This window comes from Homo sapiens, chromosome 2 (genome assembly GCF_000001405.40).
Source record: "Homo sapiens chromosome 2, GRCh38.p14 Primary Assembly".
Lineage (NCBI taxonomy): Eukaryota > Metazoa > Chordata > Mammalia > Primates > Hominidae > Homo > Homo sapiens.
The window spans coordinates 157,344,329-157,358,362 of NC_000002.12; the positions used below are offsets into that span (position 1 = coordinate 157,344,329).

Below are 14,034 nucleotides of genomic sequence, written 5' to 3' on the forward strand. Positions count from 1 at the left end.
ATATCAACTTCTGTCACAACATTCTGCAGCCTCTATAATGACTTCTCTGCTAGCATTACAGATATATCACAAACTTTATCTGTCCTCCAAGCCCAGGTTGACTCTTTAGCTGCAGTTGTCCTCCAGAACTTCTGAGGCCTCAATTTACTCACTGCTGAAAAAGGAGGTCTCTGTATGTTTTTAAATGAGGAGTGTTGTTTTTACCTAAAACAATCTGGCCTGGTATATGACAACATAAAAAAACTCAAGGATAGAGCCCCAAAACTCGCTAACCAACAAAATAATTATGCTAAACTCCCTTGGGCACTCTCTAATTGGATGTCTTGGGTCCTCCCAATTCTTAGTCCTTTAATACCTCTTTTTCTCCTTCTCTTATTTGGACCTTGTGTCTTCCGTTTAGTTTCTCAGTTCATACAAAACTGCATTCAGGCCATCACCAATCATTCTATATGACAAATGCTCCTTCTAACAACCCCACAACACCAACCTTTACCCCAAAATCTTTCTCCAGTTTAATCTCTCCCACTCTAGGTTCCCATGCTGCCCCTAATCCCACCTGAAGCAGCCCTGAGAAACATCACCCATTATCTCTCCATACCATCCCCCAAAATTTTCACCACCCCAACACTTCACCACTACTTTGTTTTGTTTTTCTTATTAACATAAGAAGACAGGAATTTCAGGCCTCTGAGCCCTAGCTAAGCCATCATATCCCCTGTGACCTGCACATATATATCCAGATGGCCTGAAGCAACTGAAGAACCACAAAAGAAGTGAAAATAGCCAGTTCCTGCCTTAACTGATGACATTCCACCATTGTGATTTGTTCCTGCCCCACCCTAACTGATCAATTGACCTTGTCACATTCCTTCTCCTGGACAGTGAATCTCAGGAGCTCCCCACTGAGCACCTTGTGACCCCTGCCCCTGCCCACAAGAGAACAACCCCCTTTAAGTCTAATTTTCCACTACCTACCCACATCCCATAAAACTGCCCCACTCCTATCTCCCTTTGCTGACTCCTTTTTTGGATTCAGACTGCCTGCACCCAGGTGATTAAAAAGCTTTATTGCTCACACAAAGCCTGTGTGGTGGTCTCTTCACATGGACGCACATAACAGTAATCAGATGAGAAGTCACCACTTCCATTCCTACAATAACAACAACAAGCTAGATAAACAAAAACAATGACTTTTCTTGGACCCATCAAATAACTGAAGTTTCAGGGCAAAACACTACCCCAAATTTGGAGAGACAGGTGTATCTAGAGACACAGGTGGGATCTGCTTACGTGGAAAAGAAGCTGCTGGGATCTACTTACCTGGAAAAGAAGGTGCTGGAGCCATAAATTGTTAGGAGCATTTACATGGTAATGTTGGCAAATTGCTGGAGGCTGTGTGTGGACTCATGTGAGAAAAAAAGCTCAGGGGGGCCACCGTTCTAAGGGTACCCTCACACATTTGTGAGCTTTACCTCCAAGAACATGGCCAAATTCTCATAGTAAGGATGTGAGAAAGATCCTTCCCTGGATTTGGCAGGAAAAGAGGATGAAATCCCCTTGGAGAGTTCTCCATAACAAAGGCCTACTTTGCAGGGTGAAAGACTTTCCCAGAGCCTTATTCCAGAAGGAAGGGAGGAAAGGCATTCCTCTCTCTCCCCTGTCTTCTCTAGCTTTCTAGTCCCCACTAAGGGAAAAATTTAAAAGCTATGCCACTGGAGAAACACTTGTGAAGCTGACAGTTCAGAAACATGCCCCCAACCCCCACAAAAGATGGAGTTTTAACAAGATTATGGAATGCTTCTACCTCCCAGAACCTTCTCACCTCAGCAATAGGGCTCCCGTATGACAGTGGATTACAGTTGAAAAATCTGCAAAACAGAGATTCTGAGAAGTACTTAGGGAAGCCTAAAGTCAAGGTGAGAGACAAAATTAAGGAAGAATCTGAAGCTTCTGACATCCACACCAATAGCAAACAGTAAACATAGCCCAGCACTTAGCCAGATTAACATAAATCCTCACAATAAAGGCCTACTTGCCTATTTGTCTATTTTCCTCTCTGGTTTGAACAAAAAATTACAAAGCAGGCCAAGAAAAAACAAACACACACAGTCTAAGGAAACAAAGCAATCACGAGAATCAGGCTCAGCTATGACACAGATGATGATATGATCAGACATGGAATTTACAATATCATAACTATAATTAATACGTTAAGGGCTTTAATAGAAAAAGTAGACAACATGAAAGAAGAGATGAGTAAAGTAAGCAGCGAGATGGAAACTCTAAGAATCAAAACAGATGATCAAAATAAAAAACAAAGACAGCTGAGAAAAAAACTATCAGTGAGATTGAAGATCATCAATAGCAAACTGAAATGCAAAGAGAAAAAAAGAATTTTTTAAAAATCACATATCCGCTAAGAACTGTAAACAATTTTAAAAGCTATAACATACATGTAATTGGAATATCAGAAGGAAAAAATTAAAGAGAACAGAGAAAAAGAAATAGCTGAAGTAGTAATGGTTAAAAACTTTCCAAAATTAATGACAGTCACCACATCACAAATTCAGGAATATCAGAGAATATCAAGCCAAATAAATACCAAAAACAAAACTAACTGCAGAAAACCAGACACGAAGAAAATATTATGAAAGAAGCTAGAGGGGGAGAAAACTTTGCCTTAGATGAATGAAAATAACAATTATAATAGACTTCTCATCAGAAACTATATAAACAAAAGGACAGTAGCATAAAATATTTAAAGTCTTGAAAGCAAAAAAACCCAACAAGCTTGAATTCTATATCCAGTCAAATTGTCCTTCCAAAGTGAAGGAGAGCCGGGTATGGTGGCTCACACCTGTAATCTTGGCACTTTAGGAGGCCAAGGCAGGCGGATAACCTGAGGTCAGGAGTTCAGATCAGCCTGGCTAACATGACAAAACCTCATTTCTACTAAAAATACAAAAATTAGCCAGGCATGGTGGCACACGCCTGTAGTCCCAGCTACTCGGGAGGCTGAGGCAGGAGAATTGCTTGAACACAGGTGGTGAAGCTTGCAGTGAGCCAAGATCATGCCATTGAACTCCAGCCTGGGTGAAAGAGCAAGACTCCATCTTAAAAAAAAAAAAAAAAAAAAAAAAAGGCCGGGTGTGGTGGCTCATGCCTGTCATCCCAGCACTTTGGGAGGCCGAGGCAGGTGGATCTCCTAAGGTTGGGAGTTCGAGACGAGCCTGACCAACATGGTGAAACCCCATCTCTACTAAAAATACAAAAACTAGCCAGGCATGGTGGCAGTAGCTGTAATCCTAGCTACTCAAGAGGCCAAGGCAGGCTCCAGCCTGGGCAACAAGAGTGAAACTCCATCTCAAAAAAACAAAAAAAAAAAGAAGGGGAAATAAAGATTTTCTCAGACAAACAAAAACTAAGCTTCAAAACCAGCAGATCTAGCCTGCAACAAATTTTAAACATGGAAAAATTCTGGGAAGCAACATTAAGAACCTCCTCTGTGAATGCTATCATTTTGTTAAGCAGCCCTTGTTTAGATACATAAGAACCATCTTCCAATTGGGTATTTATTATTGCATTAAACCCATTCTTCATGATTTCCCCAGAAATATCATGAAAGTGTTCCCAAAATGCCTGTGGAATATCTGATACACTCATCCAACAGTCACTATTTCCTGCTAAAGAACAAAATGATGTTACTCCATTGTGAAGTGATCTTGGTGATCTCTTGCTGGATCTCCTTCTAGATTTTTATGAATCACATCTTTAATAATTCATTCTAGGACCTTGCCCAGGGTTAACTTAAAGCTCTCTAGTCCTGAATAGCAGCATGTATCCTTTTTTCCTCTAAAATGTGAATCTACGTTTACATTTTCCTCTTTTCCATTTTCCCTTTCTCCTTCACATATCACTGTCCTCATTTGCACCTTAGGATATTATATTCTGGGGTTAAATTTGCTCACAGGAGGAAACTTGAACTCATTTTTAGCAGTAGGATTATCTCTTATAATATTTTATCTCATTTTCATCTTCTGTTCTTCCCAATCAATGTTTATTCTACACAGCTTAGTGTTGAAATCAGTCTCTTTAAGAGAAAAGACAAAGCAAAATAGAGATTAAAGAGTTCTCTCCTATGTCAACCATCAACTTTATGCTCTAAACCACAGCGCCGAGTTTATTCATTTGATGATCTTATTCTTACCGTAATGTAACTAGGGTCTTCTGGTTATCATTGGCTTTATCAAAAGTTGTAACCCATTTTATACTTTAGTCTTTGTAAATCTTATCTTCAGTTCTTTGCTTCTCCCTTAATCATTGCCTTGTATTATTCAACATTAGGAGACCCCATTTCCATTGCTTTAAATCTGAGGTCACCAGAGTGCATTCTCTATACTGCCACCCAGGGTCACATCTCTTTCCTCCCCATGTATCTATTACTATATACAAAAACAGATGAATAAAATTTACTTACCAAACTACATCCCTCTTAAAGCACACCATTGGCAGAGGCTGAGTGTTTCTCTAATATAAAATGCTTATCAGGGTATTAAAATATGGAAAAATCAGCTTCCTATAGCTTGATAAAAAAATTCAGTAATTGTTATTATTACTCACTTATTTGAGTTCATTAATAATAAAATTGCATGAAATAATAGCTGTGCAATATATAATACATAATAGTATATAACATAATAATATAATGTTTGTATAAAGGGAAACAACTTTTTTCCCTCAAAAATCTGTGTTTGTGTCCATATCTACCACTGATTAAACACAGGGGGGTGCCTTTTAACCTCTTTGTGCCTTTGTCTCCTCATCTGTAGAACTGGGTTAATAAATGAATGTGTTGTTATTCTTGTAAGGCTAAACAAAATTAAGTACATACACTTGACCTTGGAAGCCTTAAGGCAGTGAATACCAAAGTGTGGAACGTGATGATTTTAGATGACTATTGGACATGTATTCAATAATATTAAATCACATGGTATGAAAATTACTTCAATTTTGTTTTAACCCTTGTAATTACATAAAAAGGAAAATCCCTATTTGGTGCCAGTGTGTTTTCACATCTTCTAGCACTTGTTATTCTCCCTTTTAAGCAAAGGAAGAGTAGGTGACAGGCTTTCCTTCAGCAGGCAAAAGTGTTTCTCTTGAAATGAATTACATTATTTTGTTTTAATTGCACTCATTTTGCAATTATATTTTATTATGGCAAGCAATATTCCTTTTCAAGTTTCAATTTCTTTTTCTTTTTCTTTTCTTTTTTTTTTGAGACAGAGTCTGGCACTGTTGGCTGGGCTGGAGCGCAGTGGCATGATCTCAGCTCACTGCGACCTCCGCCTCCTGAGTTCAAGCGATTCTCCTGCCTCCCATTTCTTTTTCAAATGAATTAATTGAAATAAAAAGAAATAATTTGTTTTAGATAATAACTAAATGTATTACAGGTGGTTTGAGGTTTGGCAAAAATTATGAAGTTATTATATGAAAGACTGAGGAAACATTCGATAATGTAATATACACATTTTAATCTATTTGCCTATTATCAATGAAGTTATATTTTTATTAATTATTATTAAAAAATAAGTCTCTGAAAAATTTGTGCTTTACAGGTTCCTAAGCCTGATTCTTGAAGCCTCTCACACAGAAGTTTTAAAAGATTCCCTAGTAAATAATAAAAAGAAAGTTTGCATTTGATATCTGACTTTTATTTCCTCTAGGTTAGGGGTAATATCTACCTTCTTTATATGCTCTACAGCATCTATTAGAAGGCTGAGTGCACAAGTGTTTTTAAGTAAATATTCAAATGTGCTGAATTGACATTTAGGTGTGTCAAAAATGTTTGTGGGTGATATATGTGTGCCTCCCCTGCTCTTCTCAAAGTACCTCCAGCTGTTAATACTACCAGAGCAATTTCCACCCAATTTCCCTCTCAACTCTGAAGTTATAGCTCAGATAATGTGGCGACCAGTCTGAATCACAGAATCTTTAGCTATTTGTCATTTCCATAATGTCTGCCAGCATCTTGTAAGCTGGCTGTGTGATGTCCAAGACCAGATAAAGGAATTGCACTTTTCTCCATAGCTTATATATGCTAAGTCCCTTTACCACACTATAATTGTCTTTAATTTTTTCCCAGTTCAGTCCCTGCTCTCCAATGCCATGACAACACACATCCTATAAAGAGAGTCTTTACAAATAGTCATGAGATGAGGACTTTTGACATTTCTCTTCAGGGATCTTATCCACATCCATTTTCTCTGCCTGTTGGTTCTTGACATTTTAATGTCTGAAGAGCTTACATTCTATATAACCAATAGGAAGGGGAAAATAATATCTTTACCTTCTGATCACAAAGAAAGTTGTTCAAAGTCCTAAGCTTAATACAGTACGCAAAATGTTTCCAGAATTCTTGAGTGAGGCATTCCAATATTCATGAGAAACATTATTTACCATTACAGTATCTAAAGAGGAACCCAAAGTCTGCAGAAGTAGGCAAGTTAACACTAGATTTAAAATTTTCTGCCCTTTAAGCTGTGTTTGTAGAACCCACACCAATTCCATTTGATTAGCATCTTCTCTAAATCTATGTAATCCTCTCAACCTGTTCTATACTTTTCCTTTATCTCTGACTCTTGGTGTTAAAGTCCTTAATTAAAAAGTAACACAGATGACTGACAAGCACATACATATACATACACAATTGGCTAGAATCCAAAATTCTAACATTTGTCTGGCTTGCTAGGTTGTCCACTGGAGCCTAGATTTTGAACCTTTTGAATATCAGGCTGGCTGACTGCCAACTGATGGTTCAAACATTCAACCAGTCTTCTATCTAATCTGCCCTCAAGAAGGAATCTGGGAAAAGCCAAAACCTGATTTTCCCTTTATATATGAATTCTCTCATCATCCTCCAAGCAGCCCAATAAGATAGGTCTTATTAACTGTATCATATGGAGTAGGAAACCTGAGATTAGAAAGTTAAATAAGTTGCTCAAGGTCATGGAACTAGTGAAGGGCAGAGTGTGGTTAAAAGTCAACTCTGTAGGATGAGAAAATCCATTTGTTTCTATTATACCAACCAGCTCCACAATGGTGTTATTCAAAAAGCTAATCTTAAGAAAGCTTTAGAGTAGTAAAGAAATATTAACTTGCCTTTAATATTAGCTTATCACTTGCTCTAGGAAGCCACTATTCTTCCTCATCTGTCCAATCAGATACTTGACTCTTAACAGCTGTAAAATATCATCTCTGGCAGCTTTTGATGATAAAACAACTCCAACGTTCAAATGCTACTGCTGTTGCTTCATGCAGGTGTACCTTGTTTTATTGTTCCTCATTGTATTGCTCTTTGCAGATATTTCTTAGAAATTGAAGGTTTGGGAAAATTCTGCATGGAGCGAGTCTATCAGCACCTCTTTAACAACTGTTCTCACTTCATATCTTGCCTCTGTGTCATACTTTGGTACTTCTTGCAATATTTCAAAGTTTTTCATTATTATTATATCCGTTATGGTGATCAGTGATCTTTTTTGACTGTTTGTTTGCTTTTTTTTTTTTTGAAAACTTGAGACAGGGTCTCACTCTCTCACCCAGGCTGAAGTGCAGTTGCACAATCACAGCTCACTGCAGCCTCAACCGCCTGGGCTCAAATGATCCTCCTGCCTCAGCTTCCAGAGTAACTAGGACCACAGGGTATGCACCACCACACTTGGACAATCACTGATCTTTGATGTTACTATTGTAATTGTTTTGGGGTGCCACAAACAAACTGTACCTGTATACGACAGTGAACTTAATTGATAAATGTTGTGTGTATTCTAACTGCTCCACTGACGGAGGAGCAGGCGGTGAACTTAATTGATAATGTTGTATAAGACGGTGAAGTTAATTGATAAATGTTGTATGTATTCTAACTACTCCACTGGCTGGCCATTTCTCCCCTCCCCACAACATATCCTTGGGCATCCACAATTCCCCAAGACACAATGGTACCAAAATTCAGCCAATTAACCCTACACTGGCTTCTAAGTGTCCGAGTGAAAGGAATAGTCTCTCACTTTAAATCAAAAGGAGGAAATGATTGAACTTAGCAAAGAAGACATGTTGAAGGCCAAGATAGACAAATGCTGGGCATCTTGTGCCAAATACTTAGCCAAGTAGAAAATATAAAAGAAAATATCTTGAAGAAAATTAAAAGTACTACTTCAGTCAAAACATGAATGATAAGGAAGCAAAACAGCCTTTCACTGGAAGAAGATGACATCTAGGACTTTATAGCTAAAGAGGAGAAGTTAATGCCTGGCTTCAAAGCTTCAAAGGACTGGCCAACTTTCTTCTTTGGAGCTAATCCAGCTGGTAACTTTAAGTTGAAGTCAGTGCTCACTTACCTTCTAAAAATTCTAGGGCCCTTAAGAATTTTGCTAAATCTACTCCGTTTGTACTTTATAAATAAAACAACAATGCCTGGATGACAGCACATTTGTTTATAGCATAATTCACTGAATTTTTTTTTTTGAGATGGAGTTTCACTCTTGTTGCCCAGGCTGGAGCACAGTGGCAGAAGCTTGGCTCACCACAACCTCCGCCTCCTGGGTTCAAACAATTCTCATGCCTCAGCCTCCCAAGTAACTGGGATTACGGGCATGCGCCACCATGTCCAGCTAATTTTGTATTTTTAGTAGAGACAGGGTTTCACTATGTTGGTCAGGCTGGTCTCAAACTCTCAACCTCAGGTGATCTGCCTGCCTCCGCCTCCCAAACTGCTGGCATTACAGATGTGAGCCACCATGCCCAGCGATTTACTGAATATTTTAAGCTCATTGTTAAGATCTGCTGCTCAGAAGAAAAGATTCCTTTCAAAATATTACTGCTGCTTGAAAATGTACCTGCTCACCCAAGAGCTCTAACGGAAATGTACAAGGAAATTTATGTTCTTTCCACGTCTGCTAATATAACATTCATTCTGCAGCCTATGGATCAAGAAGTAATTTTGACTCGGAAGTATTATTATTATCAGCCCCCTGCAGCCTTGACCTCCCAAGCTCAAGCTGTCCTCTCTCCTCAGCCTTCTGAGTCACTGGAACTATAGGCATGTGCCACCACACCCAGTTAATTTTTTTAATTTTTTTTCTAGAGACAGGGCATCATATGTTTCCCAGGCTGGTCTTTAACTCCTGGGCTGAAGCAATCCTCTTGCCTTGGCCTCCCAAAGTGTCAAGTCTTATTATTTAAGAAATATATTTTATAAGGCTATAGCTACCATAGATAGTGATTCCTCTGATGTATCTAGGCAAAGAAAATTGAAAACCTTCTGTAAAGGAGTCACTATTCCAGGTGTCATTAAGAATATTCGTGATTCATGAGAGAAGGTCAAAATATCTACATGAACAGGAGTTACGAATAAATTGATTCCAACTCTTATGGATGACTTAGTTGGTGTATTAGTCCATTTTCACACTGCTGATAAAGACATACCCAAGACTGCGTAATTTATAAAGAAAAAGAGGTTCAACTGGCTCACAGTTCCATGTGACTGGGGAGGCCTCATAATCAGAATGACAGAAAGCAAAAAGCCCTTCTTACATGGTGGCAGGGAAGAAAGAATGAGAACCAAGTGAAAAGGGAAACCCCTTATAAAACCATCAAATCTCGTGAGACTTATTCACTACCATGAGAAGAGTACGGTGGAAACTGCCCCCATGATTCAGTGATCTCCCGCCGAGTCCCTCCCACAACATGTGGAAATTATGGGAGCTACAATTGAAGATGAGATTTGGGTGGAGACACAGCCAAACCATATCAGATGGATTCAAGATTTCAATGAAGGAAGTCACAGCAGATGTGGTGGAAATAGAAAAAGAAATAGAATTAGAAGTGGAGGCTGAAGTTGAGAGTGAATTTCTACAATCTTATGGTAACACTTTGACAGATGAGGACTTGCTTCTTTTAGATAAGTGAAGAAAGTGGTTTCTTGAGATGGAATTTACTCCTGGTGAGGAGGCTGTGAACATTGTTGAAATGACAGCAGAAGATTTAGAATATTCCACAAATTTAGTTGATAAAGCAGTGGCAGGATTTGAGAGGCTTGACTCCAATCTTGAAAGAAACTCTACTGTGGGTGAAATGCTGTCAGACAGCATCACATGCTAAAGATAAATTTTTTATGAGTGGAAGAGTCAATTGATGTGGCAAACTTCATTGTTGCCTTATTTTAAGAAACTGCCACTGCCACACCAACCTTCAGCAACACCACCCTGATTAGTCAGTGGCGATCAACATTGAGGCAAGACCCTCCACAAGCAAGAACATTATAACTCAGGCTGAAGTTGCATGTGAACATTAGCATTTTAGCAATAAAGTATTTTTGAATTAAGGTAGTATATTTTTTAGACATAATGTTCTTGTACACTTAATAGACTACAGTATAGTGTAAATATAACTTGTATATGCTCTGGGAAACCAAAAAAATGTGCTACTCACTTTATTGTGATATTTGCTTTATTGTGGTGGTCTGGAACAAAAGCCACAATATCTCCAAGGTATGCTTGTATATATATATATATATATATATATATGATTAGAATGAAATGTGGATACTATGCCTTTTTCCTTCTCCACAAACCACAAAAAATAAATGGGCTTCCAATTATAATGGTCTGTCATTCAGACTCCTAAGCTGCTGTTTAAATTCTGCTTTTCGATTCACCTTCTATGGTTTCTTTTTTACCACTAACTTTTGACTGTTGCTTTTTTATCCAGTTCAAGAAAATCATACCTCCTGGAGCTCTTTAACAACACTTCCCACTGACCAACAGCGATTGGAAATGTAATAAGCCTGAGCACTCTGCAAATATCACTTCCCCCATGTATGTATAATCAGGCCATGGAGAAATATCCTATGATCCTTTTGGCTTGCTCAAAGACGACAAGATTCCATCTAGAGGAAAACAAAGTTTGGAATAATTGGCTGCCTGCAAAAAGCTTCCATACGGAGGTCAGTGATTCTGAAATTTTCTGACCAGCAATGCATGTTGGAATCTCTTTATTGCAGATAGAGGCAGTCTAGAGTATGTTAATTTTATATCCAGATTATTTTTGTCTTCATGTCTCTGAACAAAGTTTTCTTCCTTCATAGTATCTGTAAGTCAAAATTCTTTTTCTGTTTACTCTCTGAAACATACCCTCTTTCTACATTTGTGCCATACTTTCCTGAGTTCTTCCAACAAACAAAGTGTTAGGAGAAAACACAACAGGCTCTTCTACCCCAAGAATGCTTTCATGAAGTTCTAAAAGTCCTTAGGACACAGTTTTCAGAAATACCAACAAAATAGTAAGGAGAAAGAAAGCCCACTATCATTATCATTTAGTGGGACAGCTTATTACCACCACTCTTCAGTTCCCATCGAGAACAAACTTCCACACCTCTCCTAAGAGAAAGCAGTTTGGGAGGATGGCCTTCTCTTCTCCCCCATGACTCACTCTGCAGGAATGCCTTTATTGTTGATATTGAGGAGATGAAACTAAGCATGTGTAGCCCAATCTCTTCTTGCCTTTCTCCTCTCTTACTTTGGGACCTTCCCTTCCTGCAGACTGAATATGTTCTCCTTTCCAGCTCCTTCTTCCTTTACACCTCTCTCTCTGCTCTCTCTGTTCCTGTCATTAGAGGAAATTTACTGCTGTCCAACTGTTCTGCTTCTGACTAGGTATATAAGTTAAATTCAAAAGAAGGTAGTGAGAAGCTTATTTGGCCTTTGATTCAAGCCACATTCTCCATTATATAATAACAATGAAATAGATCTTTTCATGCCTGTCTTACTGCTGTGTCTGTTTCTTAGTTGGGACAGATTGACACAGAGAGTGGTATGATTGATTAGCACGTTCAGACCCAACTCAAGCTTTCCCACTGGTCTCACTTTGCTATTTTGTAAATGAAGTCTTCAAACAAATGCTGTTTGCCCTGTCCTGCCTTCAAAACACGGAATGAGGCTCAGTTCTTAATTCCCCGGGCTATATTTATTAAAAGCTTGAAAATGCTTGAAGTTTAATATCCTAAGAAAAAAAATAAGTACTCTTAGAGAACTACAAATCTTCACCAAACTTCCCTCTCCAGGCTTAGGATCTGGCATGTTCCAAGTCACAGGGAGTCCACTCTGTCCCCACAAGTGAGAATATCCAGACATCCCTCCATATTAGGGTCCTGATCATAATTCTATAAGCCTCAGACAGAGAAGCAGGTTAGTCTACATCCTAATTTCAGACTTGCTTTCTTTCTTGCTCTAAGATGATTGACAATGGGAATGTCCATTTCCTTTAGAGGAAATCACATCACACTATCTGTATTTACAGTGTGTTTTTTACTCCATAGCCAGACAAAAAGAAAATCATCATATATGACAGCACATTTCCCAGTCTTACTCTTAAACAATCATGTGAGATGTATCAAACATTTAGTCGTATTACGTCACGCTGTATTACGTCAAGCTATATCTAGCTTACTTGATTGTTTTATAGAGAGATGGTAAGCAACACATCTTTGAGATGGTGCTCAGACTCACCTCCAAATCTTGAGCACTTGAATGAAGAGACCCACATATCACCATAGAACAAACAAATATTTTAGTCAAAAGGCAGAAGAGATCAAGACTTAGGAAAGGAGTGTCTCCAAATCTTTAGGTATATAGCTAAAATGTATGCAATCTATGTTACTAAATAGGATTCAGCATTTCTGTGATACATCAGCACTCAGATGACTTCACTGGTTCAGTCTTGCCAAAGCAATGGGTAGATGCATGCATGACTTGCGTCTGCCTGGATCACTATGGCAATCCTTCCCAGAATAAATGCAATTTCTGCCTCAAAGATTCCGTTTTCACCTCCCAAGTGACCAATTTTAATAAAGTTAAGCCTCCAAATAACAAATAGCCTGCTACAACAAAAATTAAAATTTAGTCTGCTCTAGGTACTCCATTACATTGTTTGTATCACCGTTACTGACTACATGATCTATTCAGAACCTTTTTATATATAATATTACTTAATCATGAGCAAGTACTTTTATTATTCCTAATTCATAGATGAGGAACCTGAGGACTCATGGCCTATGTACCCTGCCAATGACTTCTGTGCTAAGTCCTGAACCTACTTGACTTCAAATGTATTCATCCTTTCCTGTTCTGGATTACTTGGGGCTGCATTTCCTAGGCTTCTATGTCAGTTGAATTATACAGATAGGGGTTTGCTGGAACACTGAGAGCAAGAAAGGCAAAAGCCATAGTTTTCTCCCCATCCTCTCTATTTGTTCAGCATCTTTAGTATTAGCTCTGTCCCCCATGTGCTCCAATTCCTGACACAGATGCCTAAAACAAATGTTCTGTCTAAGCCACATCTTTTCCCCCACCAGCTCTCTTTCTTCCCTGCCTTTTCCATTTCTGGATCACTTCACATCACAGGTAAAACAGGCAGCTGGGGTATTCTCTGGGACTACCCCCAAACATCTGAGTGGTGAAACACACAGGGGAGGCATTACTATTTTGTATGAAGAAAGGGCACACCAAAACAGAGAAGTTATAAATATGGTCCTAATCCTGGTGTCACTTTCACATATTTATTTAATTCTTCTTTCAATTTCTGCCACAGGCAAAATAGGAAGAGATCAAAAATTTTTTAACCTGAAAAACATTTGAAAATATCAGAAAAAATTATTTTGAAATTGAATTCTCATTTGGAGTATTTATTATAAACAGCTGTCATCTCAACAGGCTCAGTAGGCAAAAGCTGTGTGTCTGATTTAGAGGTTGGGTTGAGACAGTCAACAAAAGTCTAAAAACCCTTAGACCCAATGTGATGACACTCAGAGAAGTGAGAAAAAGGATGGAAAAGAGGAAAGATTTATGAGACATAGCAAAGAAAGCCAAGGTCAGTGTGAATGACAAGAATTCTCAAGAAACAGCTGTTGAATTTAACTTAATCAAAACTAGCTGGTAAAGTGGAATTTTAGTTTGATATTTGAATAAGAGACTAAGATAATTC

General features: G+C 38.4%; 1 annotated feature.

Moving 5' to 3' along the window:
* Positions 1,181–2,033: an enhancer, noted in NCBI's record as "OCT4-NANOG-H3K27ac hESC enhancer chr2:158202021-158202873 (GRCh37/hg19 assembly coordinates)". NCBI's record gives its function as "activates a minimal SCP1, AML or CMV promoter by ChIP-STARR-seq in primed H9 embryonic stem cells {active_cell/tissue: H9 hESC(primed)}" and the evidence as "EXISTENCE:reporter gene assay evidence [ECO:0000049][PMID:30033119]".